This window comes from Homo sapiens, chromosome 1 (genome assembly GCF_000001405.40).
Source record: "Homo sapiens chromosome 1, GRCh38.p14 Primary Assembly".
Lineage (NCBI taxonomy): Eukaryota > Metazoa > Chordata > Mammalia > Primates > Hominidae > Homo > Homo sapiens.
The window spans coordinates 151,148,496-151,176,188 of NC_000001.11; the positions used below are offsets into that span (position 1 = coordinate 151,148,496).

Below are 27,693 nucleotides of genomic sequence, written 5' to 3' on the forward strand. Positions count from 1 at the left end.
GACAGTACTAAATATTAAATATTTAATAGTACTAAACTATTAAAAAGACAACACCAAGTCTCAAAAGAAAAGCTACATTGAACATAAATTTCCAAATGTGCAAAGAAGACAATAAATATTCTCCGAAGACTGCACAGAAAGATGCTGGATACATTTTATCATGAAGGACAGGAAAACTTTGGTGGGAGTTGGCTTGGTGCAAAAGAAGAAAATGTTCCCGAGGGACACAGCTTCAGCAAAAGCTTTTACTTGGTTAGCAAGGAGCCTGCAGCATGGATAAAAAAAAGGTCCTGTGAGGCTGGTGTGTGGGAAAGGCACTAGTTAGGAGCAAGGGGAGGGAAAAGGGGAAGACAAATTACAGAAGGCCTGGAATGACTAGGTGAGCTGGTTAAAATCATCTGACAGGAGTAGGACGTCATTTTAAATTCTTGAAAAAGGGTGCAACTTGTATTTTTTTATTTTTTTAAGCAAGAAGACAGAGACCTACTAGCAAGTAAACAAGGTTTAAAGGTGAGGGGAGAGGGACAATCAGACAAGGGTGATGGGAACAGATTTAGAAAGAAATACATGAATCTGAGAGCTATTTTGAAGGACAAATCAAAATGACTCTCTTGGCTGGGCGAGGTGGCTCACCCCTGTAATCCCAGCACTTTGGGAGGCCGAAGTGGGCAGATCACCTGAGGTCAGGAGTTCTGAGACCAGCCTGGCCAACATGGAGAAACTCCAGCTCTGCTAAAAATACAAAAAAAAATTAGCCGGGTGTGGTGATGGGCACCTGCAATCCCAGCTACTCAGGAGGCTGAGGCAGGGGAATTGCTTGAACTCAGGTGACAGGAGATTGCAGTGAGCCAAGATCGTGCCACTGCACTCCAGCCTGGGTGACACAGAGGGAGACTCTTAAAAAAATAAAAATAAAAATAAAAAACCTCTCTTCCTACTCCCTTAGTGTTTTGAAGAAAATCACACAGTCCTGGCCGGGCGCAGTGACTCAGGCCTGTAATCCTAGCACTTTGGGAGGCTGAGGCGGGTGGATTGCCTGAGCTCAGGAGTTCGAGACCAGCCTGGGCAACAACAGTGAAACCCCGTCTCTACTAAAATAAAAAGAATTAGCCGGGCGTGGCGGTGTGCGCCTGTAGTCCCAACTACTGGGGAGGCTGAGGCAGGAGAATTGCTTGAACCCAGGAGGCGGAGCTTGCAGTGAGCCGAGATCGCACCACTGCACTCCAGCCTGGGCAACAGAGCGAGACTCCATCTCAAAAAAAGGAAATCACACAGTCCCACAGATTGGATTGGAAAAGCACTCTCTTCCAATCCCCAGGGAGATATTTCAAACTTCCTCCTTTTTTTGCAAGTTCCTTTCCTTACCATTTCCTTGTTCATCTCAGGAAAACCCTCATCCGTCTTCAGAGAAAACAGAGATAATAAAGTGAGAATTCCACCAACTTTTTGCTCCCTACAGATATACTTACCTGCATCATGTCTCTCTCATCCTAGTGAATGCCATCCGTATCACCTGTCGAAGGTTCACCTATGACTTTACTGTAAGTTGTATGCAGTCCCTGGTTGTCTATCTTGCTCAACACTGTATCCTTTCCTTGTAGCATAGTGCCTGCACACAGAAAGTATTAACTTAAAAAAAAAATAGAGGCAGAGTCTCATTGTGTTGCCCAGGCTGGTCTTGAACTCCTAGGCTCAAGTGATTCTCCTGCCTCGGCCTCTCGAACTGCTGGGATTACCGGCGTCAGCCACCATTCCCAGTCTTAACCTGTCCTTTTCTACTGATATTTTCCCCTTAGCATATACACATGCTCAAGTAATTCCCATGATTAAAAGGAAAACATTCCAAACTTTCTCTTGATCCTTGTCTGCACCCAGTCATCACTCGATTTCTCTTCCCTTCATAACTAAGCTTCTAGAGTTACCTATACTTGCTATATCCATTTTCATGATTCTCATTCTCAATCATTTTAGTTTTTGTCCCCATCAGTCCACTGAGATTGCTCTCATTAAGGCCACCAACGACCTCCTGGTCACATTCAATGAACAACTCTTCAGTCTTTATCCTTTTGCCCTCTCTGTGCCATTTGACCTGTTGACTCCCCCCTCCTTGAAATGCTTTCTTCTTTTGGCTCCTGAGGTCCCTCTTTCTCTTAACAAAGACTAGGGGCTTAATAAATATGTATTTTTAATGAATGGATAGTTTCACTTCTATTAATATGGCTTTTCTTTTCTTTTCTTTTCTTTTTTTTTTTTTTTTGAGACAGAGACTCACTCTGTCGCCCCAGGCTGGAGTGCAGTAGCATAATCTTGGCTCACTCACTGCAACCTCCACCTCCTGGGTTCAAGCGCTTCTCCATCTCAGCCTCCCGAGTAGCTGGGATTACAGGCGCCCACCACCACGCCCAGCTAATTTTTATATTTTTAGTAGAGACAGGGTTTCGCCATGTTGGCCAGGCTGGTCTCGAACTCCTGACCTCAAGCGATCTGCCCACCTCAGCCTCCAAAGTGTTGGGATTACAGGTGTGAGCCACCACACCCAGCCTAATATGACCTTTCTTAGCCTTCTCTGACCTCTCTAAATGCTGGTGTTCCCTATGGTCATGTCCTTAGCCACCTCTTTCTTCTCTACCCATTCTCATTGGTCAAGATAATCCGACAATGAGAACAGTTACAAAACCAACAGTTACAATAAACTGTTTTGTTTTGTTTTGTTTTGAGATGAGTCTCCCTCTGTCACCTAGGCTAGAGTGCAGTGGCTCACTCGGCTCACTGCAAGTTCCGCCTCCCGGGTTCACACCATTCTCCTGCCTCAGCCTCCAGAGTAGCTGGGACTACAGGCACCTGCCACCATGCCCAGCTAATTTTTTTTTTTTTTTTGTATTTTCAGTAGACACAGGGTTTCACCGTGTTAGCCAGGATGGTCTCGATCTTCTGACCTCATGATCCGCCCGCCTGGGCCTCCCAAAGTGCTGGGATTACAGGTGTGAGCCACTGCGCCCGGCCACAATAAACTGTTTATATGTTGCTTACCATAAAATCTAGGTGTTCAACTCAGGTCTTTCTCCTGAGTTCTAGACTCATGTATACAATTGCTTATTGGATACTTCCATTTGGATTTTTCATGTTTACCACTTAGTCTAAAGACAGGAAGTAGCCAGGCGCAGTGGCTCACACCTATAATCCCAGCACTTTGGGAGGCTAAGGTGGGCAGATCACCTAAGGTTGGGAGTTCAAGACCAGCCTGACCGACATAGAGAAACCCCGTCTCTACTAAAAATACAAAATTAGCCGGGCATGGTGGCGGGCGCCTGTAGTCCCAGCTACTCAGGAGGCTGAGGCAGGAGAATCACTTGAACCCGGGAGGTGGAGGTTGCCATGAGGCAAGATCGCGCCATTGCACTCTGGCCTGAGCAACAAGAGCGAAACTCCATCTTAAAAAAAAAAAAAAAAAGACAGGAAGCTTGTCTTTTATCTTTTTATCCCCAGCACTTAATTGTAATGCCTGGCATACAGTAAGTAGAGGAAGAAATAAATGCATCAAAGATTAAAAACAAACAAACATCCTATGGCTCAGAGGAAAAACAACAACAACAACAAAAAACAAAAACAAAAAAAAAACAAGCCAGGTATGGTGGCTCATTTCTGTAATCCCAGCATTTTGGGAGGCCAAGGCAGGCGAATCATGAGGTCAGGAGATCGAGACCATCCTGGCTAACATGGTGAAACCCCGTGTCGATTAAAAATACAAAAAATTAGCTGGGCGTGGTAGCGCGCGCCTGTAATCCCAGCTACTCAGGAGGCTGAGGCAGGAGAATAGCTTGAACCTGGGAGGCAGAGGTTGCAGTGAGCCGAGATCGTGCCACTGCACTCCAGCCTGGGCGACAGAGTGAGACTCCATCTCAAAAAAGTAAATAAATAAAAATAGGACAGGCACGGTGGTTCACACCTGTAATCCCAGCACTTCGGGAGGCCGAGCTGGGCGAATCATGAGGTCAGGAGTTCAAGACCAGCCTGGCCAACATAGTGAAACCCCGTCTCTACTAAAAATACAAAAATTAGCCGGGCGTGGGGGTGCGCGCCTGTAATCCCAGCTACTTGGGAGGCTGAGGCAGGAGAATCACTTGAACCCAGGAGGCAGAGGTTGCAGTGAGCCGAGATCATGCCACTGCACTCCAGCCTGGGCGACAGTGTGAGACTCGATCTCATAAATAAATAAATAAATACCCCAAACAAAAAAAGAGTAAAAGCTGTGAACTATCTCCAGCTATGTCAGGCTGACTTACTTGACTGCTTTAAATCACACTAAACTTACTCTTTCTGAACTGATATGAGAGTATTGATCTTAACCATGGTAAAACCTCACCTAAAACAAACATCGGACTGTTCCATCCTGAATACTTTTCCAAATAACTGAAGTTTATCCAATTAAGTGCAAAATATCTTCATTTTGCTTCAAAGTAGAAATTGCTCAAAAAAGTACTATTCACTTCCTGTAGATTATACAGTGGAAAGAGCACCATTGAAAGTCATTGAGACTTAGCTAGATTCATCTCTGGAGTATGGCTTTGGATAAACTACTTATCTCTAAGTCTGATTCTGTCTTCTGTAAGTGGACATACTACCTTCCTGCCTACTTCTTAGGATCAAATAAGATCCTGTAGGTGAAACATTTTGCAAATTCAAAAGTGTTTTGCACATTTAAGATACCGTCATTTGGCCAGGGTACACAGTGACTCACTCCTGTAATCTCAGCACTTTGGGAGATTGAGGCAGGAGGTCTGTTTGAGTCCAGGAGTCCAAGGCTGCAGTGAGCAGTGTGAGCCACTGTACTCCAGCCTGGGCAAGATAGCAAGACCCTATCTCTAAAAAAAATTTGTGGCCAGGCGCAGTGGCTCACGCCTGTAATCCCAGCACTTTGGGAGGTCGAGGTGGGTGGATCACAAGGTCAGGAGTTCGAGACCAGCCTGGCCAATATGGTGAAACCCCATCTCTACTTAAAATACAAAAAAATTAGCTGGGCATGGTGGCACATGCCTGTAATCCCAGCTACTCGGGAGGCTAAGGCAGGAGAATTGCTTGAATCCGGGAGGTGGAGGTTGCAGTGAGCCGAGATCACGCCGCTGCACTCCAGCCTGGGTGACAGAGCGAGACTCCATCTCGAAAAAAAAATTGTTCTTGGCCAGGTGTGGTGGCTCATGCCTGTAATCCCAGCACTTTGGGAGGCTGAGGTGGGTGGATCACGATGTCAGGAGTTCAAGACCAGCCTGGCCAAGATGGTAGAAACCCCGTCTCTACTAAAAATACAAAAATTAGCCAGGCATGGCAGTGGGTGCTTGAAATCCCAGCTACTCAGGAGGCTGAGGCAGAGAATCAGTTGAACCCGGGAGGCAGAGGTTGCAGTGAGCCGAGATTGCACCACTGCACTCCACCCTGGGCGACAGAGTGAGACTCTGTCTCAATTGAAGAAAAAAAAAAAAATGAGAGAGAAAATAAAAGACTTCCCCATGAATGAAGTAAATGAACATTATAACATGTGACTCCTATGTTACTACCATTTTCCCCTCATATCCTGGTTCTTGGATATGTTTTGACTTTATTCTTTCAGCACATATTTATTGACCACAGTATGTGCCAAGCACTGTGTAGACACTAAAAGATAATCTGAGCTTAGTGGGTAGACAGTTAATAAAATCACAAATTACAGACGGGCGCTATGGCTCATGCCTGTAATCCCAGCACTTTGGGAGGCCAAGATGGGCAGATAGCCTGAGGCCAGGAGTTCGAGACCAGCCTGGCCAACATGGCGAAACCCTGTCTCTACTAAAAATTCAAAAATTAGTCAGGTGTGGTGGCAGTGTAATCCCAGCTGCTCAGGAGGCTGAGGCAGGAGAATCACTTGAACCTGGGAGGCAGAGGTTGCAGTGAGCTGAAATCGCATCACTGCACTCCAGCCTGGGTGACAGGGACAGAGCAAGACTCTGTCAAAAAAAAAAAGAAAGAAAGAGAGAGAGAGAGGAAGGAAGGGAGGGAGGGAGGGGAGTCTGAAGCTGGAGAGGAAAACAGGTAAAGACTAGGTAGCAGAATTCTGAATCCAGAAGTTATTATTGTATTTGCATCTTCTTATATTTTTATTCCCTTTATTCTTTTTCTTTTTTCTTTTCTTTTTTTGGAGACCGAGTCTCACTCTATCACCAGGCTGGAGGGCAGAGGCGCGATCTCGGCTCACTACAACCTCTGCCTCCCTGGTTCAAGCGAATCTCCTGCCTCAGCTTCCCGAGTAGCTGGGACTACAGGCATGTGCCATCATGCCCAGCTAATTTTTGTATTTTTAGTAGAGATGGGGTTTCACCATGTTAGCCAGGATGGTCTTGATCTCCTAACCTCGTGATCCGCCCACCTCGGTGTCCCAAAGTGCTGGGATTACAGGTGTGAGCCACCATGCCCAGCCGAGACAGGGTTTCACCACGTTGGCCAGGCTGGTCTCAAACTTCTGACCTCAGGTGATCCACCCACCTTGGCTTCCCAAAGTGCTGGGATTACAGTCATGAGCCACCGCGCCCGGCCTGGGGCAACTTTTTTAAAGTTTGCCATGATCTGATCTTTTTCCTTCTTCACTTATCTCTCAAACAACTTACATTCCAGACATAAATCACCACTTCCTGAGAACGTCCTGTATTTTGTTTTTTTCCTGCATGTGCTTATGCCGTCCCCATCATCTGGGACTTCTTCCCCATCTCTGGCTATTAAGTAGTTGAATCTATCTTTCCAAGTCTACCTCTTCAGCCCTATCATAATTAAGCTTCTTTACTCTCAAAATTATTTAAATCTCCATTAAAGTTAATGGCATTGTTTGACTAGTATTACTGTTCTTTATGTTTAAGCTTATTTCCCTCGCCAGATTCCCCATAAGATTCTTGATAGCAAGTGTTTTTGTCTCATTCAACAACTGTGACTTCCAGGATGGGTGCAGTGGCTCACGCCTGTAATCCCAACACTTTGGGAGACTAAGGTAGGAGGATTGCTTGAGCTTAGAAGTTCAGCCTGGGCAACATAGTTAGACCCTCCTCTCTACAAAAAAAAGGAAGGCTTGTGAGCCTCTGGTCCCAGCTACTTGGGAGGCTGAAGTAGGAAGAGCTCTTGAGCCCAGGAGGTCAAGGCTGCAGTCAGCTGTGATGATGCCACTGCACTGTGGCCTGGGCGACAGAGTGAGACCCTATCTCAAAAACAAAACAACAAACAAACAAACAAAACCCAATTGTGGCTTCCCCTCATTTTGTATCCCTTTAGCAGCTACAAAGTAGCTACTACAGTAGCCTACTCAGTAGGCCCTGCGGGGTGCGTTGGCTCACACCTGTAATCCCAGCACTCTGGAAGGCCAAGGTGGATCACCTGAGGTCAGGAGTTCAAGACGATCCTGGCCAACATGGTGAAACCGTCTCTACTAAAAATACAAAATAAGCCAGGCATGGTGGCACAGGCCTGTAATTTCAGCTACTTGGGAGGTTGAGGCAGGAGAATCACTTGAACCCGGGAGGCAGAGGTTGCAGTGAGCCGAGATCACCCCATTGCACTCCAGCCTGGGCAACAAGAGCAAAACTCTGTCTCAAAAAAAAAAAAAAAAAAAAAAAAAAAGGCAACTCAGTAGGCTTGTTCCTCTACGCTAGTGATTCAGTGCTGTGCTGGCACCTGCTGGTCACCTGTGGTGCAGCAGCCCTGGTCCCAGCACCTTCCTCCCTTCAGTATTAAGGGTTGTGACAGTCTGTGCTCTTACCTGGCAATCACTGGAATAATATATTAAATACTTGCCCCACAGCACCACCTTTCAATCTTCAGAACTTTTCCCACTGACCTCCTACCCCAGAAATTTGGGCTTTACATCCTTCCCAGTACTGTAGAAATGTAAGGACAGGATCTTCAGGAACTGGGCAGCAAGAAAAGAAAGAAGCAATTTGAGAGTGGAGGATGCAAATCCCTTTCCCCCCTTCAAAGAATTGAGACTATTTCCAACAGAATTCCACTCTTTTTGACCTTTGTCTTATTTCTAGGTTGCTCTTGGGCCATAGGCCTTCTTGGTGACAGAAGTGATGAACCGGAGGTTAAGCAGAGAGTAGGTAGGCGGGGCTCAAGGGGTGGGGCCAAGCCAAAGGGCTCTCACACTAAGTGAAGCTTCTCCATTCTGTAAGCTTTCCGGGAACATCCAAGGCAAGACTGGCACCCAGCACAGCAGGTGAGGGACCGGCAGTGACAGAATGGTAGACTTTAGGGGTAATGGTGGCAGAGGAATCTCTAGCTCTTTCAGTCTTAGCTTTTCATATTGTGAAACTCTCGCTTGTACAATTCTTGGGTCCTTTGTAGAGCTTAGCTTAGTTTTTCTGGTGGCAAGGCAGCCTCTGAAAGACCTGGTTTTGGATGCGGTGGGGGCAGGGCTGAGGGATGCAGGTGGATCCACATCCATATGGATGTGTGCGAAATGCAAGGAAATCTTAGGAAACAAGGAGATAGATGGGTAAGGGCCAGAGGGAGAGTATGGCCAGGCCAGAGGATCATAGGGAGGACCCAGACAAGAGAAAAAGGGAGACTGAAACAGGGAGAGAGGGAGAAGACAGCGGAATAAATGTGAGACGGCAATGGGGGCAATGGAGAGCTGGGTAACAGGAAGGCCAAGGAGGAAGGAAGGCTCACATGGAGCAATCTCCTCTTCCGGCTGGGGAGCATGGTCCAGAAAGCCCCAAGGCAAGCTGGGAGCAAAGCAAGGTTCAGGTTTCCACTGGAAGGATTCAGCTGGGGAAAAAAACCCCCACAGTCTCCACCTCCTCTGCCTCTTCAGACTCCCATTTTGGTTTGGGGGAGAGGGCGAGGCTGCTCCTCACTGCGGTCACAGCCACATCCTGCAGAGCAGAGGAGGGGGAAGTAAGAAGCAAAACAACCAGAAGAACCACAGGCGAAGACCATGGGGAGAGAACCCTGGACACATGGAGCTGATATGCCACCAAGAGGGTCCTGAGTTCAGTGTAGCAGAAGGCTCAGACCTTCAGGACTGCCTGCCCTTCTTGAGGTGTTGGCTTCTCGTGCTTCCTCAGTGTGCTTTAACCACACTGGGAGCATTCCGGGGAAGGAGGTTTCTCTGGATTATTTGGTTTGAAGCCCATCTTTATAATTTACTAGTGACTTTGGCCAAATTGCTATATTTCTCTTCGCTTCAGTTTTCTCATTGCAAAATGGGGATACCTACCCTAACCTTACACAGGATTGGGAAGGCTAAGATGACTGACGTAAAGCACTTGCATATAGTAGGTTCTCAGTAAATGTTAGTTATTACTCCTATTAGGATTCCTGGGATGCTTATGCTTCTTACTTTAAAGGAAGTATAGTGCACTAGCTGCCACTGGCTTTGGGGGCCAAAAAATGAGTTGCGTTTGATCTTGGGTAAATTACTTAATGTAAGTATCATTTGCTTAGCTGTAAAACAAGGATGGTAATATCTATGCCACACAGACATATGGCACAGAGTCAGTGTCCAAAAATGGTAGCTGTAAGAATTCTGTCAGGCTGGGCGTGGTGGCTCACGCCTGTATTCCCGGCACTTTGGGAGGCCGAGGTGGGCAGATCATGAGGTCAGGAGTTCGAGACCAGTCTGGCCAACATGGTGAAACGCTGTCTCTACTAAAAATACAAAAATTAGCCGGGCGTGGTGGTGGGTGCCTGTAATCCCAACTACTTGGGAAGCTGAGGCAGGAGAATAGCTTGAACCCGGGAGGTGGAGGTTGCAGTGAACAGAGATCACACCACTGCACTCCAGCCTGGGTGACAAAGCAAGACTCCGTCTCAAAAAAAAAAAAAAAAAGAATTATCTGTCAGGTAAGCCCTGTCTTCACTGCAGCAGCAACAGCCTACTTCCCCTTGAGATGTAACTTGTGCTAGGCTAGCCTCCCGTGTGCCCACATTCCTCCAGCCGGGGCTATCGCCACTCCCGTGGGCTGTTTTGGAGTCAAGATTTGCTACAGCACTAAGGGGAAAAAGCAGGCAGGAGCAAGGCATAGAGGACTGAGGGGCCCCAGGGGGCGGAGAGGATGACAAACAAAGATGATGATGACATGGAAACTAAAGAAGCAACAGAAAAGGGAAAAGCCATTTCTCTCTTTCTAAGGAAGCCTGTGGCCTTTCTTCTAGTGACTGACCACATACCCCACTCTCCAGGACCCATGGAGTCCTTCAGCTCAAAGAGCCTGGCACTGCAAGCAGAGAAGAAGCTACTGAGTAAGATGGCGGGTCGCTCTGTGGCTCATCTCTTCATAGATGAGACAAGCAGTGAGGTGCTAGATGAGCTCTACCGTGTGTCCAAGGAGTACACGCACAGCCGGCCCCAGGCCCAGCGCGTGATCAAGGACCTGATCAAAGTGGCCATCAAGGTGGCTGTGCTGCACCGCAATGGCTCCTTTGGCCCCAGTGAGCTGGCCCTGGCTACCCGCTTTCGCCAGAAGCTGCGGCAGGGTGCCATGACGGCACTTAGCTTTGGTGAGGTAGACTTCACCTTCGAGGCTGCTGTTCTGGCTGGCCTGCTGACCGAGTGCCGGGATGTGCTGCTAGAGTTGGTGGAACACCACCTCACGCCCAAGTCACATGGCCGCATCCGCCACGTGTTTGATCACTTCTCTGACCCAGGTCTGCTCACGGCCCTCTATGGGCCTGACTTCACTCAGCACCTTGGCAAGATCTGTGACGGACTCAGGAAGCTGCTAGACGAAGGGAAGCTCTGAGAGCCCTGAGCCTAGCACATTCCACCTTGACAAAATGGTTGACTGAGAAAACACAGATAATGGGCTTCCTAACCCTGCTCACCTGGCACTAACACTTTTCAATCTTCAGGCTTCATTCCTTCCCAAGAGTGCTTTTGACTCTGAGACCAGCCCACCCCCAAACAGCTAGTGGAGAAGGAGCAATGCTGAGGGGTGAGGCCTCTCTCCCACTCCAGCCCCAGGACAGGAAACAGAACTGCCTGAAAAAGGTGAAGTGAAACTTGGATCTCTATTTCTCCCATAAGGGACTTCTGAAACAGGGAAGCCCCCTCCCATGTGAACCAAGGAAAGGAGGCACAGCCCAGAGAACCCCTTTGGGGATACTAAAGACAGAAGAGGGGAAGGTGGCCCTTAGAGACAGAGCTTGGACAGATGCCAGAGGCTCTGTTCCAGAGTGCAGGAAGAAGGGGCTAGGGCAGGGGAGATTCTCATAGGGGAAATAAAACTACTAAAATATGCACAGGGCTCAATGTTTAATCTGTCCAGCTTCGTATACCTTATAATCATCACAGAAGAAAGGAGGTATATAAACATTACTTATCTCACCTCTCATCATTTCCAAACAGGAGACTGAGGCAGATTTCCATTATTACTGAGGTTCCCTTACCTACTTCTGTTTAAGAAACAAAACAACTGTACCATAGATCAGTGCTACAAATCGCAAATAAATATGCAGTGAGGAGGAAGGCATAGAGAGAGAGGGTCTGGAGGGGAGGGGGTGTAACAAAGAGACTCCCACAACTGGCTTCCTCTTCAAACCCCAAGGAAAGCCTTCTTCCATCTGTTCCCCTCACCACAGGCTGAGCAGAACAGGTCAGAAGGGTGAACTGGTAGAATGGAGAGTTCAGGTCCCTACAGTGCTGCTTTTTCTCAGAGTCAAGAATTGTGAAAAAGTTACAGGGAATTGGTTTGTCAAGACTGAGCCCATTCAACAGGAATGGGGTACCAAAAAAAAAAAAAAAAAGAATCAGCCCAAATCTGTCACTTTGAGATTGGAGAAAAGGCCAACAGTCATCCATTCTCTGTGGTGGGCTATATCACCGATTGCCTCATCCTCAATAACATGTTTGGCTAACAAGGTGGGGAAAGTGGAGAACCAGCAGTCACTGGCTCACTGTTCCCGGGTTCTCCTCACCCCAGGGCTATAGAAATTCCATTTTTCAGCTAAGAGTGGGAAGAAATAAAATATAGCAAATAAATATTACTTCAATATTAGCACCAAATAAATTATGTCACATAGTTGGAGATGAGGAAGAAGCTGAGGGGGAGTCTCTGCTTCCCTGTTCTAAGGCCAGGGAAAGGTAAAAAGGATAGGAAAGGCAACAAGGATATAAAAAGAGCCTTTTGAGTCTAAAGGACTCAACTCTAGATTCAGCCCAAGAACTGGGAAAGGTCCAGTTCCCATTCCCTAATCTTGCCAATAAAACTGCCCCAGGCCAAGGAATTTTTGGCAGACAAGGAGGCTGGGGAGGATGGCTGGAGTGGAGGGAGGCAGGCTCATAAGCCATGTTCTTGAGCCTCACCTCAGGCTCCTCTCCCCCTGAAGTTTCTCTTTCAACATCTTGCTTCTCTCAGTCAGTTCTGGGGACATCAGAGTTTGAAGATTTCATCCTCCTGGTCCCGTAGTGTCCGGGTCCGAGAGGTACGGGTCAGCGGCACAGGACCTAGGACTGCTCGTTGCTGCATCCAAGGGGAGCTCAGGTGGAGACCTGCATCCTCCCCAGGTACCCTGCAATTGAGGAAAGGGGGGAAAGAGTGACAGATCAAGGGAAGAACCTGACAATGGGCCAAGTGAGAGGTACATGGAAAGCTATCTTCTAATACATAAGCTGGTTGCTTCAAGACAGTCTCAGTACCCTCTAGATAAATCCTAACCCTAATGCTCCTTCATGGATGATCAGAGCAGTAAAAACAGTTAACTGTCAGCTGGCCGCTGTGGCTCACGCCTGTAATTCCAGCACTTTGGGAGGCCGAGGCTGGCGGATCACGAGGTCAGGAGATTGAGATCATCCTGGCTAACATGGTGAAACCCCGCCTCTACTAAAAATACAAAATATTAGCCGGGCGTGGTGGCGGGCGCCTGTAGTCCCAGCTACTCGGGAGGCTGAGGCAGGAGAATGGCGTGAACCTGGGAGGCGGAGCTTGCAGTGAGCCAAGATCGCGCCACTGCACTCCAGCCTGGGCAACAGAGCAAGACCCCGTCTCAAAAAAAAAAAAAAATAGTTAACTGTCTGACTCCAATAAGAACACAGAACCCAGTTTTCCACTGCCTCTACCCAGGCCAGCAGCCATCACCTCTGCTCATTATCTTGGGGCCACATGGGGGAAAGGTATCACCTTGCCTCTGTTGGCACTGTCCTTACTTACTTGTGTTTGTGGTTAGGTAAGACAGGAATGATGGAGGAGTCTAGGGAGGAACTTATAAGGAACCATTCAAGACTCACCCATTTTCCCCTTTTTTCAGCTTCTGAGCAGCAGCCTTCTTGGACAGGCTGATCTGTGAATCAAGCTTCTTAAGGAAATCAGAGGCAGAGAGGTCATGGATGGGCGTGGGGGTTTCCTGGCCAGGTGTGGGGAGGACTTCACCATTGGCACGTCCTGCTCCTGTCTCTTGTTTCTTCCTCTCAGTTGAGTGTGGCCAAACTTCACTGTTACTTGGGTGTACTTTTTCCTCTCCATCTTTCTCTTCCTCAGAGTCCAAACCATTGAACAGGTCTCTGGGCTCTGTCAGGATGGGGATGTAGAGGGTTTTCTTCAGGAAGATGGAGTCATTAGTATAAAGGCGGTTTGCACGTTTAATCTGTTCCATCTTAAAAAAAAAAGTCACCAAAATTAAGGACAGTAATAATGATCAATCTTACATCTTGAGCTTTTTAAAGTGACTGTACAGAGTCTTCTTTGATTCCATAACAACCAAGCTAAAGTACAAAGGGCTGACATTATTTCTATTCTATAGATGAGTGGTTTTCACACTTTTTGGTCTTAGGGCCCCCTTACATTTTAAAAAATTATTGTGCAAGCCAGGCGCAATGTCTGATGCCTATAATTCCAGCTACTCAGGAGGCTGAGGAGGGAGGATAGCTTGAGCCCGGGAATTAGAGTCCAGCCTGAGTAATATAGTGAGACGCCATTTCTAAAAATTAAAAAATTAAAAATAAATGAATAAATAAATTAATGAATAAATAAAAATGAAGGAACTGAGGCTCAGAGAGGTTAAGCTACTTTCCTAAAATTATCTATCAAGTTAATGACAGAGCTAGAATGACAATCCTGGGTCTTTTCACTGCTTCTGAGAATGCTTTTCACACTATACTATTAACAATGTCATTAATAAATATTTATTTTGACCTATTTATTCATCACTGGACATAGTGACTGGCATCACCATCTATCTGCCTGGCCTCCCAAGGTAGAAACATCAATGTCATCCTTAACTAATACTTGCCTTTCATCACCATACCAAGTGGTCAACAAAACTGCTTCAAAAATCTCTCTCACATCTGGTCTCACCTTCCTACTGCCAAAGATTTAAAATAGACCCTCAGTATTTCTCATCTGGGGTTATTGCAACAGTTTAACTGGCCTTCCTCGCTCTATTTCTACTCATCCTCCTCTTGGCATCTATCTTTCTAAAAAAATAAATCTGATTAACCCACTACCCACCTATGGCTCCGCACTGGCTAAAAGATAAAAACCAAATTAGCATTCAAGGGCTTTCTCAATCCAGCTCCCAAAGGAAATGTCTAGATTAATCTCCCTCTGCCACCTCTACATTTTGCTATCCTGAACTTTTTATTTTTCTTTGAACATTCCATGATCTTTTTCACACTTTATTCATGCTGTTACTTCTGCCTGAAATGCTCCCACCCCCCTACTATCCCATTCTCTGCTTGGAAAACTTGTATTCATCAACTATCACTCCCTTTGTGCTACCTTCTTCAGGGCTCCCAATGCATACTGTAAATATTGCTATAATAATACATAACCCTACTATAATATTATTCACCTCTTTAAATATCTGCTTTGCCTAAACCCTATAAGTCCTTTAAGGGCAAGGATTGTGACTTGCTGTCTCTGTATCCCCAGGAAGTCATTAGCATCCTACAGACCTTGACACATAGCAGGGGCTCATTAATGCTTTATTTAAAAACTATTACTTATAATTATGTAATTATTATCATAATTAGATAATGAAATATAGAAACTACAGATATAGTGTATTCGTATTTTCTTTCTTTCTTTCTTTCTTTTTTTGGAGACAAGGTCTCACTCTGTCGCCCAGCCTGGAGTGTAGTGGCGCGATCTCGGCTCACTGAAACCTCCGCTTCCCCAGCTCAAGTGATCCTCTGCCTCAGCCTCCCCAGTAGGTGGGATTACAGGCACATGCCACCATGCCCGGCTAATTTTTGTATTTGTTGTAGAGATGGGGTTTCACCACATTGCCCAGAATGGTCCTGTACTCCCGAGCTCAAGCAATCCACCCACCTCAGCCTCCCAAAGTGCTGGGATTACAGGCATGAGCCACCACGCCTGGCCCACCACAGCCCCTTTCCAACTGAAATTTAATCTTTTCTGATTTCCTATCTTTGTGTGTGTGTGTGTGTGTGTGTGTGTGTGTGTGTCTCACTCTGTTGCCCAGGCTGGAGTGCTGGAGTGCAGTGGTGCGATCTCAGCTCATCGCAACCTCCCCCTCCTGGGTTCAAGCGATTCTCCCGCCTCAGCCTCCTGAGTAGCTGGGATTACAGGTGAGCACCACCACGCCCGGCTAATTTTTGTATTTTTAGTAGAGACAGGGTTTCACCATGTTGGCCAGACTGGTCTCGTACTCGTAACCTTAGGTGATCCACTTGCCTCTGCCTCCCAAAGTGCTGGGATTACAGGGGTGAGCCACCATGCCTGACCCCTATTCGTTGTTAATACCTTTACAAACTCACCACATTCTGTCACTTGTAATCATTATTTGTGTCCCTGTTCATTTCTCATTAGGCCATAAATTACATGAGGACAGCAACCATATAGTTTAAGTTTCTATCTCCCAGAAAAGTTATCACAGTGCTTTAAATACAGCAAGCATAAAAATGTTGGCTAAATTCAACATTTGTTTGAGTGAGATGGAACAAGAAAACAGGGGCAGGGATAGGGGGAGTAACCCCATCAACTTCAATGCTGTACATTTTTACATCTATCCAATTTCCCCCATGCATGACCTGAAATACTTGGTGTAGAGTACCTGTTTTGCACAAAGGAGGCCACCTTACTGGAAAGAAGGCAGAGCATTGAGGAGGAACCAAGAGCAAGGAGAGGTGGGCACTTTAGGAACTGAGAACTAAAAATCAGCTCTCCATTAGTTGCTGTAAACGTTTAATCACTCTCAACATAAAATTTTCTGTGTGGTTAATAGAGTCAGACAGACCTGTTTGAATCCCAAATCTGACGCTCATTATTTGACCTTAGCCAAACTGGTTAACCAATCCAAGTCTCAGTTTCTTCATCTGCCAAAAGGGAACGATAAATGTATACTTGATACAGATGTGAGGGTGAAATGAGCTAACGTATGTGAAGCCCTCAGCACAGTGTCTGGCATAATAAAATAGGAGCTGTTCCTCTCCGTTGGAATAGTAGGGCAGGACTTGTGCAACACTGTGATGGGAAAACAAAGATAAAGGCAGAACAGAGTGCAACACATTAGGAACATTTCAGGGGAGGTTACCTAGAAGGGCCACTACATTCTTCTCAGGACTAAATCCCTCCTGACTGTTGTCTTCACCCCAATCCTGGAAAACTCACCGTCACCCCATATTTGAGTGCTAGTCCAGCCAGGGTGTCTCCGGGCTCCAACTGATGCTCCAGGCGTCTTTCCCTCACTGGGGAGCAGGCCGATTGCACCAGGCTTCCATATGAACGAGCCCGGCTCCCTTGAAGCAGTCCTGACCCCCCTGGCGGGGGCTGTCTAGACGGGGAAGCCATCTCTTCACCCTGCCAACAGCTAAGGTTGCAACTAGGGGAGGTACGACCGAGACTGCGACTGACAGGCCTGAAGTCTGGGAATGAATATTCAGGGGATTCCTTTCCCCCTCTCTCTTCCCCTGTGTCCCCGCCTCCCCAGCACTACGCCATCTGCCCCCTCCCGGTTTCTCCTCCCTCCAAGCTACTTATCCACAAATCTGTCCCTTGAGTATTCAGTCCCTCCCTAATTCTCCCCTAAGCACCCCTCCGACTTTGGACTCCCCCACAACTCCTCGCTACATTGACCTCTGACCTTTGAACTCTAGAAATAATCCTCAACACTCTTTCCTCAGTTTGCCCCCAAGTAGCCTGGCCTCAGGGCGCTCCAACATCCCAGCTCTCCCCGGTCCCGGGGTTTGTTTGCTAGAGTCAGGAACAAATCAGGCCCACCCCAGGTGAACTGTCGCCGCAGACGAAGAGCGTGAGGATTGCAAGAATTTGTAGTACACCTTCCACTCAGAGATCCTCAAAGGTCCGCTCCGCATAAGATAGGTCACACCCTCAAATTTCGGCTCCACATCTAGGTTGTTGTCCCTCCAAACGCCTCAGATCCGCCAAGATGCAAGGGCCTGGATCCAGTTGAGCGGCAAGGTCTTTGAGAAAAGACTTCATTTCCCAAAAGGCTCCGCGTCTGCGGAGTCGCAGGGCACCATAGGAAATGCAGTTCCCTCCGAGCACCAGAGAGTGGATTTCCGGATCGCGCAATGCATGCGTGGAAGTGCGTCCCCGGAAGTACGGAGGCCGACAGGAAGAGAAGGAAAAAAGAGAAGGCGCTGTCCCGCTCTTGCTACGGTGGCCTGGAGGAGTGGCGAAACCGGAACAGAGAATTTATCACTTCTGGGACTCACAGTCGTGATGTCTTTCAAGAGGGAAGGAGACGATTGGAGTCAACTCAATGTGCTCAAAGTAAGCGTGAGCGGAGAGGATCTGGAGCCGCTTCAGTCGCTCCCTGAAGGTTGGGAAGGAGCTTTGTTTCATTGCTCTGGCAACAACTCGGGGGTGCAGGAGAGAACCAGGCGACTTAGAGCTGTGTAGTGACTCCTTTTTCGGTCTATGATCGCTGTTCTCCCCAGGGTCCTTATTCCATTTCACTCCTCATTTCTATAATTTCACTTCCACCCCTCTCTCCTATCCCGCTGATCCCGTCCGGATTTCTTCCCCTACTCCCTGCAGAAAAGAAGAGTCGGGGACCTCCTAGCCAGTTACATTCCAGAGGATGAGGCGCTGATGCTTCGGGATGGACGGTAAGAGCAAGGAGTGGCTCAAGCCTGAGGGTTCTGCGGTTAGAGGCTCAATAGACTTTTTTTTTTTTTTCCTTTGAGACGGAGGTCTCGCGGTGCTGCCCAGGCTGCCCTCGAACTCTAGGGCTCAAGTGATCCTGCCTCCTCAGCGTCGCGATTAGCTGGGTTTACAAGCGCATGCCACCACGCCTGGCTTCAACAAACTTTTGTTATTAATTAGGACAGCAGGAGTACCTAGGATTCTTTGGCGGCCAGTGAGGACTGGAAGAAGTGGAGATTGGGTCACCAGGGAGTTGGGTTTTGCAAAGACTGCTAGGACAGGGTGGGACCTATGGCAGGGACGGGCCCAACCCTCTTCCCCTGGACCACTTATCCTCTTCTCTACCCCTGCTCAGCTTTGCTTGTGCCATCTGCCCCCATCGACCGGTACTGGACACCCTGGCCATGCTGACTGCCCACCGTGCAGGCAAGAAACATCTGTCCAGTAAGTTAGGGGGAAGACGGGATGGGGAATAAACCCTCGAAATCTCTGCACACCACTCTTGGTGCTATGCTTTTAATTCTGTTTCCCTTTCTCCTCAGGCTTGCAGCTTTTCTATGGCAAGAAGCAGCCGGGAAAGGAAAGAAAGCAGAATCCAAAACATCAGAATGAATTGAGAAGGGAAGAAACCAAAGCTGAGGTAATCAGAGAGTGGAGAGTGTGTTCTAGGCAAGACCCTGCTGCACACACCAGGCTGGAAGGGCGGAGGGCTGAAGGCTCTGACTCTGTCTCCCATCTCCTTACCAGGCTCCTCTGCTAACTCAGACACGACTTATCACCCAGAGTGCTCTGCACAGAGCTCCCCACTATAACAGTTGCTGCCGCCGGAAGTACAGGTATGGGACGGGAAAGCCAGAGGTAGGAAGGCTCAGAAGGAGACAGATGGCTCTAAAAGAGTTTTCCAGTGTGTATTCTGAGGAATACTAGTGTTCTGGAGATGTTACTTAGTGTTTCAAGAAAAGGAGAATTTTGGCTGGGCGCGGTGACTCACGCCTGTAATCCCAGCACTTTTGGAGGCTGAGGTGGGTGGATCACTTGAGGTCAGGAGTTCAAGACCAGCCTGGCCAACATGGTGAAATCCTGTCTCTACCAAAAATGTAAAAAATTAGCTGGGTGTGTGGTGTGTGCCTGTAATCCCAGCTACTCAAGAGGCTGAGGCAGGAGAATTGCTTGAATCCGGGAGACAGAGGTTGCAGTGAGCCACGGTCACACCACTTCACTCCAGCCTGGGTGACAGAGTGAGACTCCATCTCAAAAAAAAAAGAAAAGAAAGAAAAAGAAAAGGAGAATTTTGTGATTTTTAAATAAAGTTTGGGAAATGGCACTTTGTAATTCTACTTGAAGAATAACAGTTTTAAAAACTATACAAAGTCTTAAGATTAAAAAAAACTTGTAAAATTTTAAGCTAGCCTTTCCCAAATTCATGATTCTGAAATCCTTTGTATGCAGAACTTATTAATATCTTGAGAAATATAGTTTAAGAAGCACTGTTTTAAGAGGTTGGGAGTCATAGGAGAGTTGGCCCTTTCCCTTACTGCTTTTACAGACTATTCTTCTCTACCTAGACCAGAAGCCCCTGGTCCCTCTGTCTCCCTTTCCCCTATGCCACCCTCAGAGGTCAAACTCCAAAGTGGGAAGATCAGTAGGGAACCTGAACCTGCGGCTGGCCCACAGGCCGAGGAGTCAGCAACTGTCTCAGCCCCTGCACCCATGAGCCCCACAAGAAGACGAGCCCTGGACCATTATCTCACCCTTCGAAGGTGAGTATGCCTAATCAGTTTCCTCAGATTTTCTTTTCTCTCTGACACCCTTGTTTCAAAGCTATTGTTTTTCCTTTTTTTTTTTTTGAGATGGAGTTTCACTCTTGTTGCCCCAGCTGGAGTGCAATGGCACGCTCTCGGCTCACTGTAACCTCCACCTCCTGGGTTCAAGCGATTCTCCTGCCTCAGGCTCCCGAGTAGCTGGGATTACAGGCATGTGCCATCACGCCCGGCTAATTTTGTATTTTTAGTAGAGACGGGGTTTCTCCATGTTGGTCAGGCTGGCCTCGAACTCCTGACCTCAGGTGATCCACCTGCCTCAGTTTCCTAAAGTGTTGGGATTACAGGTGTGAGCCACCGCACCCGGACTCCCATTGTTGTTTTCCATCTTTGGTTTCGTTTTGTTTTAGCCACCCAACTTACATGGCTCTCAATTTTTTCTCACTGCTAACTTTTTTTTTTTTTTTTTTTTTTTTTTTGGTAGAGACAGGGTTTCACTATGTTGGTCAGGCTGGTCTCGAACTCCTGACCTCAAGTGATCCACCTGCCTCGGCCTCCCAGAGTGCTGGGATTACTGGTGTGAGCTCACCACTAACTTCTTAATAAGCCTCTTTCCTGATCGATGCTATTTTCTCTGATGTTTCCAGCTCTGGATGGATCCCAGATGGACGAGGTCGATGGGTAAAAGATGAAAATGTTGAGTTTGACTCTGATGAGGAGGAACCACCTGATCTCCCCTTGGACTGATACCCTTTTCCCATTCATTCACAAATAAATTACAATGGGTGCTGAGAACTTAACTTTCCTTAAGTCTGGTTCCTTGTTGGATCTCAGGATTTCAGATCTGTTCATTCTCATTCCAACTACTCCTTGCCTGCAAGGTACACAGCTCTCCACACTCCTTTTTTTTTTTTTTTTTTTTTTGAGGCAGAGTCTCGCTCTATCGCCCAGGCTGGAGTGCAGTGGCACGATCTCGGCTCACTGCAAGCTCTGCCTCCCAGGTTCACGCCTTTCTCCTGCCTCAGCCTCCTGAGTAGCTGGGACTACAGGCGCCCGCCACCATGCCCAGCTAATTTTTTGTATTTTTAGTAGAGACGGGGTTTCACTGTGTTAGCCAGGATGGTCTCGATCTCCTGACCTCGTGATCCGCCCACCTCGGCCTCCCAAAGTGCTGGGATTACAGGCATGAGCCACCGCACCCAGCCACGGCTATCCATACTTCTAACCCCTCCCCCACCTCCTACCAAAGCCATGCCAAGCGTCAGCTGCATCAGCCTGGTGCCCTATTAATAAGACTGTCAAAAAGAGGTCTTTGCCCTTCATGTTGTCTGCCTGCTTCTCCACTACCACTCAAAGTCCTTTCCCCCTTCAAATCACATAAGGACTGCAGGTAGGCACTAGGGGGACCTGGCCACATCTGGAAACAGGGCTGTGGCTAAGTTCCCTGTGAAAGTAGAAGAGTCAAAAGGCATTGGCAGGGTTATGGGGAACACCAAGGGAGGGAACACCCCCACCTCCTCCTAGTAACCTGAACCTCCCTGCCTGCTGATCCCCAGAGTATAAATAATCCCCTGGTGAACTGGCAGTAACCCTTGGGGGTTAGCGCCAAGATTCTCACCCCAAAGCCCAAGGAAGGAGGCAGGCAAAATGGATAGAAGGGCTTTTATTTACAGGAAAGGAGGACAGATGAGGATTTAAGTGTCCAGTGCTCCCAGCGCTAGTTGGTAAAGGGAAATGCAGTGTTATCTCTTCTTTTGCTGGCGACCTGTAAAGGAGCAATATTAAACATAAGTGTTTGTTCCAGCTCCTGCTTTCTGCAAAGGCACTCTTCTCCTTTCCAGTCCCTTAGCCAAACTCATAAATTGGTAGTGTCTTAGGCCACCTTACAGGCCCATCCCACATTAACAAAACAAAACAAGAAACCACACCACAAATAAAATTACGATACCTCTAAACAAGTATGATTATCTCTGGCATCCTTTCTACCTCTCTACTGGTCCATATTTGGGGCAGGGGGAGTTTTCTGTTTACTTTCTGATCACTCTTGGGATTTGAAATTCTCATATGAATAGCTCTTTGGTAGCACCCTGGGCTGTTAGTCATTAGGTCTGCTTTCAGGAGGATCCACCAATTTCTGCACTTCCCTGACCACTCCACACATCATGTCTGCAGTTACTCACGTAGTTCATTGTTTCGGGTCATGGCCTGGGCTGCCCGAGCTCGTGGCCCCTGCTGTGTAAAGTGGTAGCCAAAGCGGACAATAGAGGGACACTGCTCTAGCACGGTGGCCATCTCCATCTCCACTGCATCACCAGGCCACTGGCGCTGGGGGAGGGAGAGGCAAAAGCTGACAGTCACCCTCTCTGGGCTGTTTACCATCCCACATCACAGACCCCTTTGGGAGGTCAAAGAAGCTTGTTTCTCCACAGTGGGTGAAGAGAGATGCTGACTTGGCTTCCCTCACAGAGACAATGAAGAGGAGAATTCAAGCAAGATTAAGTAAGATAGCTGCCCCACTGGCTGGCTCAGGGAGGAGACTCAATGAGACTGAATGCTAACATCAGGGGAAGGGAATGCTGACCTGATTGTCTACACGGAGCTCAGTGAGTGTGGCATTTTCCCGAACTGCCTTCAGCACAGCCATGAGTCCTGTGCTGCTAATGAAGTTGGATTCGATGTTTAGGCTCTGGAGGCTACGATTCTCACGCAACATGTCAGCCACTGCCTGGGTAGTAGGGACTTGGGTTAGGATTAGGGAACAGTTTCACAGATGACTGAGGAAAGAAAGAACAGGAGCAAGAGGGAAACACAGCTCTTTGAGAAGAGTCTTTCAGGTGCTGTAAATGGAGCTAGAGGGATACAGAAAGCAGGGCGGATAGCAGGGGAAAGCAGGGAGATGAATGTGCAGTGGGACTAGGGGTGTTAGAGAGAGTAGAGAGTTATGAGCCATAGCACTGAAGGTAGGAGTCTCCATGAGGGCTGCCCTAAGAAGGCATGATGAGAATAGCACTCCCTAGCAAAACCCTTTATGACAGCCATGCAACAGGTGCATGTAAGATGTGGGGAGAGGGCTGGGGATGTCAACTAGCCTTACATTGGCAATGGGGTCACCACTCCTCGTGGCTACCAGACTGAAGCTCCGCACATAGGTATTTGCCTTCATTGCCTCACACAGCTCACTTAGCATGGGTATTGGGATGTCCTATCGGAGGGGAATAGGAGATGGTGGGCTAAGGGACTCTCGGATGTCAGTGGTTATCCGGTGTTATGGTTTGGAGGATGCAAGTCAAATACCTGTATATTATTCAAGTTCACCTCCTCCAGCTCCTTGTCATTGCTTCGGACCCTCTTTAGTATCTCCTCAATGTTTGTGGGATTTGGGGGTTCATCCGGCACTGGCTTATACTTGTCAGGCTGTACCACACCTGGTGAATGAGGGCAGGAAGGGAACCCCAACATGTTCCCCATAATCTCCTCCCCATTGGTTTTCTTTTCTTTTCTTTTTTTTTTTTTTTGAGATGGAGTCTCGCTCTATCCACCTAGGCTGGAATGCAGTGGCACAATCTCAACTCACAGCAGCCTTGACCTCCCGGGTTCAAGAAATTCTTGTGCCTCTGCTTCCCAAGTATAATATCTGGGATTACAGGCATGCAACCAGCTAATTTTTGTAGTTTTAGTAGAGACAAGGTTTCACTATGTTGGCCAGGCTGGTCTTGAACTCCTGACCTCAGGTGATCCACCTGCCTCGGCCTCCCTAAATGCTGGGATTACAGGCATGAGCCACCTCACCTGGCACTCCACAGGTTTTCTTATCACTCATGCAGCATGTCCTCTCCCAGAATCATCAATTTCACCCTTTTCTACCTTCTCCCAGACACTAGGACTGCCTGCCCAGAGCCCTGGGGACCATGCTCCCCAAACACACTCACTGCTAATGCCTTCAGTGTTGCAGATTTCTCCACTGCAGAGGGCATCATAGTATTGCTTGTTACTCATCAGTGTGTACATGTCCAGAATTGCTGGAGAGGGTAAGAAGAGGAGTCACAGGGAATGAGAAGGAACCTGTTCCAAGCCTCCCTCCTACCTATTTCTGAATCTGTTGCATTTGTAAAGCCTGACCACTTACACTTTGCCAAAGAAGTTTCCCACCCTCTTTCAGCCCCAGGGGTCCTTTCCATAAACTTCTTAAGGCAGTAGTTTCTAAAACATTGAGAAAGGGCTAAGGGAAGGTCCCTTATGAGCCACTAGAGGATAAAGGAGTCTGTAGAGACTCTCCTCTTTCAGCCAGAATGGTTCCACTTTTTTTCCCCCCGAGACGGAGTCTCACTCTGTCCCCCAGGCTGGAGTGCAGTGGTGCGATCTTGGCTCACTGCCACCTCCACCTCCCGGGTTCAAGCAATTCTTCTGCCTCAGCCTCCCAAGTAACTGGGATTACAGGTGCATGCTGCCATGCCTGGCTAATTTTTTTTGTTGTTGTTTTTGTTTTTGTTTTTTGTTTTTTGAGACGGAGTCTCGCTCTGTTGCCCAGGCTGGAGTGCAGTGGCACTATCTTGGCTCACTGCAAGCTCGGCCTCCTGGGTTCACACCATTCTCCTGCCTCAGCCTCCCGAGTAGCTGGGACTACAGGCGCCCACCACCACACCCAGCTAATTTTTTGTATTTTTAGTAGTGACGGGGTTTCACCGTGTTAGCCAGGATGTTCTCGATCTCCTGACCTCGTGATCCACCCGCCTCGGCCTCCCAAAGTGTTGGGATTACAGGTGTGAGCCACCGCACCCGGCCAGTTTTTTGTATTTTAGTAGAGACGGGGTTTCACTATGTTGCCCAGGCTGGTCTTGAACTCCCGAGCTCAGGCAATCCTGAGTGCTCCCAAGTGCACTCAGGCCTCCCAAGTGCTGAGGTTACAGGTGTGAGTCATGGTGCCTGGCCCAATGATTCCACTTTTATTTGCTCTTACAATCCCTGTAAAATTGCTCTTGAGGTGTTATTAAATTTAAAAATGAATAAATATATAAACAAACAAGAAAAGCTTGAAACTACTGCTTGACGCTTTCTTAGACATCCACATTCTGGTTGAGGGCCTTCCTCACTAGTCCCATGTCATGGCTAGAATCCACCTGCCCCTGATCCTCTCACCCTCAACTTCCCACAGCTACCCACCTGCAATGTCACACATTTCAGCATCTGTGGCATGTGCCAGTGCCTCCTCCAGCTCAGGCTCCAGGGTGATCTGCTCCTCTGCTGGGATTTCCCTCTTGGGCTGAATATAGGGTTTCCCTGATGGGGAGATGAAGGATGGCTCAGGTAGAGGTAATTTCTCCCAAGATCCTGGCCTCCAGGTTTCCTTCCTCCTCCAGGAGGTAGAATGCTGCGTCACGAAGGGACACTGGAAAGCCTGAGTCCTCTACAAACTCAAGAGTCCTTAGCCCCCTGATCTCTCAAGAACTGAAGAGTGCGGGGCTGGGCGCTGTGGCTCACGCCTGTAATCCCAGCACTTGGGGAGGCCGAGGCGGGTGGATCATGAGGTCAGGAGATCGAGACCATCCTGGCTAACATGGTGAAACCCCATCTCTACTAAAAATACAAAAAATTAGCGGCCGGGCACGGTGGCTCATGCCTGTAATCCCAGCACTTTGGGAGGCTAAGGCGGGCAGATCACGAGGTCAGGAGATCGAGACCATCCTGGCTAACACAGTGAAACCCCATCTCTACTAAAAATACTAAAAAATTAGCCGGGCGTGGTGGTGGGCGCCTGTAGTCCCAGCTACTCGGGGGGCTGAGGCAGGAGAATGGCGTGAACCCGGGAGGTGGAGCTTGCAGTGAGCCGAGACTGCACCACTGCACTCCAGCCTGGGCAACAGAGTGAGACTCCGTCTCAAACAAAAAGAAAAAAAAAAGAACTGAAGAGTGCAAGCTCGCATTTAAGTGTCAGGGCATCTGAGTCCCTAGGCAACTAGGAGCTGGAAGGTGAGAGGGAAACTGGAGTGGGGACGAGTGAGAGACAGCACAGCCACTTGGGTTCTACGAGGCATGGATGTCAGGGTCCCCATACCCTTCTTCTCGCCTGTGAAGGGCACCAAGTCATCACGCTCTTTGACTTCTAGTGCCTGTTGCTCCAAGTACTGCAAAAGGGCCTCTCGGTCCAGTGGCCCCGTTGGGCTCTTCTTTGTCTGGTCACGTTGTCTTAGTCCAGCTGGCAGGAGCATGTTCTTAGGGATGAGTTTTGGGGAGCAAGTCAGACCTCCCCTCTGACCTAGGTACTGCTAGGGCTCCCTAAAACATCACCGGACACCTTTCCCCTGGCCTTCTTAGGACCCTAGGTCCTGTAGCAAACCCTATTCTCAGCCACCCAGAGCCCAACACCCTTCCCAAATGCCTGGGACTGCCTCTGGTTCCCTGTGCTGGAGCCCCTACCTCAGGATCCATCTCCTGTAGTTCGCAGTCCAGCTGCTCTAGCTCCTCGGGGCTCAAGGTCCTTAGGATCTCATCTTCATCTATGTCTCTGTATTTCTCCAGTTCCTTCTGATATGATGACATGGTGGCCCCCACCCCCTCCCCACTGTGTGGTACTCACAGAGCCTGGGCAACATGGGACAAAAGGATGGACAATGGTAAGATGGACAGGGACACAGCAGGGACACAAAGAGACCAGCCAGGGGGGCAGAACATTGGATTGGATTTCTTGGAGATTAGAAGTCTAGTTGAGGATGGGAAGTGGGGAAGATTAGGTTGTTTAGAGTTAGAACTAGAGTCTCCTTTCTGCTTCCCCAGCTTCCAGCCACTCTGGATGGGGATCCCAGACATCTAAGCTGGGTTTGTCTTCCCACGGTATGACAGAGAAATCCTGGCAGCACCCCTCCCCTATAACCTCACTTGTCAGTGCCTTCGCCCTAACACAGCTGCTGGAAGCCCTGCCAACACAGCTGGTCCTATGCCCAGTTCCTATTGAAAGGGGATGAGGGGTGGGGGAATAGAGAGCTTCAGGGAAATTCCTCCTCTCCTCCTCATAATCCAGGCTTTTTCCTAAACCGGATAAAAAAACCAAGGACAATGAGGTGTAAGGGGAAGAGAGAGTCTCTTACCCCATCCTCATTTCCCTTTTATTGTGGGGGATCAAGATTTCACTTTCTGTGTTTGCTAAAATTTGAAGTCTTAAGGGAAAGCAAGGGCTCGGAGCAGTTGGGGGACTTCCAGGTTGGGGGAAGGGTAGTAAGGCCTCTGTGAGTCCCCATAATCTGTCCCTTGCTTTGGACAGGAAGGTGACACCAGACCAATGGGTGTAAATAGGGTAAAGTTTCTTTAAAAACAGTGGGAATATTAAACTCGCACAATTTTGTACAATATAAGATACGCATAAGGAGCTATGCATACACACCATGCTGAATATGAAAGATCCAGAAAGTATGTGAGACACATCGACAATGTAAACTATACACAGTTAAGGGGTAGGACGGCACAGTGGCAGAAATATACACTGAGTGACAGAGACAGGGACACACTCCACATCATTCCCCATAGGAGCCACTCTTCTCCTCCCATCTCCCACCGGGCTCTCATCCATAAGCCCCCTGTCTTCCCCACCTACCAGTCCTGGTGGTCACCTCCCTTCTCACCTCCCCTGTGTCAGTAGGTCTGTCTGTTCTACTAGAGCACTGTCCCAGCAGCAGGAGGAGCCCGGTGCCGGGGGAGAGGGTGGGGGAACAGTGAGCTCAGCATTTTATTATTTTAGCTCTGGCCAGGTGGGGGGTAGTGGGAGATCACATATACACAGCCCCCATACCCTGCCCAGCCCTGAGAGCCTCTAGTGGTCATTAACAGCCATGGCATCTCTTCCACTTCCCTTCATACAA

At 48.3% G+C, this 27,693-nt stretch overlaps 5 protein-coding genes across 16 annotated transcripts, besides 5 other annotated features; 3 read left to right on the forward strand and 2 right to left on the reverse strand.

Annotated features, from left to right (window-relative positions):
- On the reverse strand, window positions 1–17,407 carry LYSMD1 (LysM domain containing 1). Of its 6 annotated transcripts, XM_047420115.1 has the most exons (6): window positions 16,584–17,407; window positions 13,241–13,605; window positions 12,320–12,525; window positions 8,683–8,888; window positions 7,850–7,921; window positions 1–1,609 (listed from the first exon to the last, which is right to left on the reverse strand). In XM_047420115.1, the coding sequence occupies exons 1-3, from the start codon at window positions 16,761–16,763 to the stop codon at window positions 12,387–12,389; spliced, it is 684 nt and encodes a 227-aa protein (XP_047276071.1). In that variant the 5' UTR covers window positions 16,764–17,407; the 3' UTR covers window positions 1–1,609; window positions 7,850–7,921; window positions 8,683–8,888; window positions 12,320–12,386. The 6 variants fall into 6 exon arrangements, with proteins under 6 accessions (XP_047276071.1, XP_047276061.1, XP_047276068.1 ...); XM_047420105.1 differs by lacking the exon at window positions 8,683–8,888; XM_047420112.1 differs by lacking the exons at window positions 7,850–7,921; window positions 8,683–8,888.
- On the forward strand, window positions 8,154–11,254 carry TNFAIP8L2 (TNF alpha induced protein 8 like 2). The gene is made up of 2 exons (NM_024575.5): window positions 8,154–8,227; window positions 10,171–11,254. The coding sequence occupies exon 2, from the start codon at window positions 10,203–10,205 to the stop codon at window positions 10,755–10,757; it is 555 nt and encodes a 184-aa protein (NP_078851.2). The 5' UTR covers window positions 8,154–8,227; window positions 10,171–10,202; the 3' UTR covers window positions 10,758–11,254.
- Window positions 8,154–21,801, forward strand: TNFAIP8L2-SCNM1 (TNFAIP8L2-SCNM1 readthrough). 2 transcript variants are annotated; one of them, NR_144937.2, is made up of 7 exons: window positions 8,154–8,227; window positions 17,976–18,046; window positions 18,439–18,527; window positions 18,626–18,723; window positions 18,831–18,919; window positions 19,654–19,843; window positions 20,491–21,801. NR_144937.2 is itself a non-coding variant. In NM_001204848.2 (7 exons), exons 2-7 carry the CDS (start codon window positions 18,030–18,032, stop codon window positions 20,588–20,590), a joined length of 588 nt encoding a protein of 195 aa, NP_001191777.1. In that variant the 5' UTR covers window positions 8,154–8,227; window positions 17,976–18,029; the 3' UTR covers window positions 20,591–21,801. The 2 variants fall into 2 exon arrangements, 1 of the variants encoding a protein (NP_001191777.1); NM_001204848.2 differs by having other exon boundaries at window positions 19,649–19,843.
- Window positions 16,889–17,594: an enhancer, noted in NCBI's record as "H3K27ac hESC enhancer chr1:151137860-151138565 (GRCh37/hg19 assembly coordinates)". NCBI's record gives its function as "activates a minimal SCP1, AML or CMV promoter by ChIP-STARR-seq in naive and primed H9 embryonic stem cells {active_cell/tissue: H9 hESC(naive and primed)}" and the evidence as "EXISTENCE:reporter gene assay evidence [ECO:0000049][PMID:30033119]".
- Window positions 16,889–17,627: a biological region, named in NCBI's record as "H3K27ac hESC enhancer GRCh37_chr1:151137860-151138565".
- Window positions 17,348–17,627: an enhancer, noted in NCBI's record as "active region_1708". NCBI's record gives its function as "activates an Ori minimal core promoter by ATAC-STARR-seq in GM12878 lymphoblastoid cells {active_cell/tissue: GM12878}" and the evidence as "EXISTENCE:reporter gene assay evidence [ECO:0000049][PMID:35858748]".
- Window positions 17,595–18,301: an enhancer, noted in NCBI's record as "H3K27ac-H3K4me1 hESC enhancer chr1:151138566-151139272 (GRCh37/hg19 assembly coordinates)". NCBI's record gives its function as "activates a minimal SCP1, AML or CMV promoter by ChIP-STARR-seq in primed H9 embryonic stem cells {active_cell/tissue: H9 hESC(primed)}" and the evidence as "EXISTENCE:reporter gene assay evidence [ECO:0000049][PMID:30033119]".
- Window positions 17,648–17,697: an enhancer, noted in NCBI's record as "active region_1709". NCBI's record gives its function as "activates an Ori minimal core promoter by ATAC-STARR-seq in GM12878 lymphoblastoid cells {active_cell/tissue: GM12878}" and the evidence as "EXISTENCE:reporter gene assay evidence [ECO:0000049][PMID:35858748]".
- Window positions 17,649–21,801, forward strand: SCNM1 (sodium channel modifier 1). 3 transcript variants are annotated; one of them, NR_037937.2, is made up of 7 exons: window positions 17,649–17,708; window positions 17,976–18,046; window positions 18,439–18,527; window positions 18,626–18,723; window positions 18,831–18,919; window positions 19,699–19,843; window positions 20,491–21,801. NR_037937.2 is itself a non-coding variant. In NM_001204856.2 (7 exons), exons 2-7 carry the CDS (start codon window positions 18,030–18,032, stop codon window positions 20,588–20,590), a joined length of 588 nt encoding a protein of 195 aa, NP_001191785.1. In that variant the 5' UTR covers window positions 17,649–17,757; window positions 17,976–18,029; the 3' UTR covers window positions 20,591–21,801. The 3 variants fall into 3 exon arrangements, 2 of the variants coding, with proteins under 2 accessions (NP_001191785.1, NP_076946.1); NM_001204856.2 differs by having other exon boundaries at window positions 17,649–17,757; window positions 19,649–19,843; NM_024041.4 differs by having other exon boundaries at window positions 19,649–19,843.
- On the reverse strand, window positions 21,492–27,486 carry TMOD4 (tropomodulin 4). 4 transcript variants are annotated; one of them, XM_011509449.2, is made up of 10 exons: window positions 27,457–27,486; window positions 26,258–26,422; window positions 25,896–26,052; window positions 25,004–25,120; window positions 23,773–23,862; window positions 23,138–23,268; window positions 22,938–23,045; window positions 22,425–22,568; window positions 22,024–22,168; window positions 21,492–21,608 (listed from the first exon to the last, which is right to left on the reverse strand). In XM_011509449.2, exons 2-10 carry the CDS (start codon window positions 26,378–26,380, stop codon window positions 21,586–21,588), a joined length of 1,038 nt encoding a protein of 345 aa, XP_011507751.1. In that variant the 5' UTR covers window positions 26,381–26,422; window positions 27,457–27,486; the 3' UTR covers window positions 21,492–21,585. The 4 variants fall into 4 exon arrangements, with proteins under 4 accessions (XP_011507751.1, NP_037485.2, XP_047274628.1 ...); NM_013353.3 differs by having other exon boundaries at window positions 27,429–27,486; XM_047418672.1 differs by having other exon boundaries at window positions 26,258–27,486.
- Window positions 27,487–27,693: the final 207 nt, after the last annotated feature.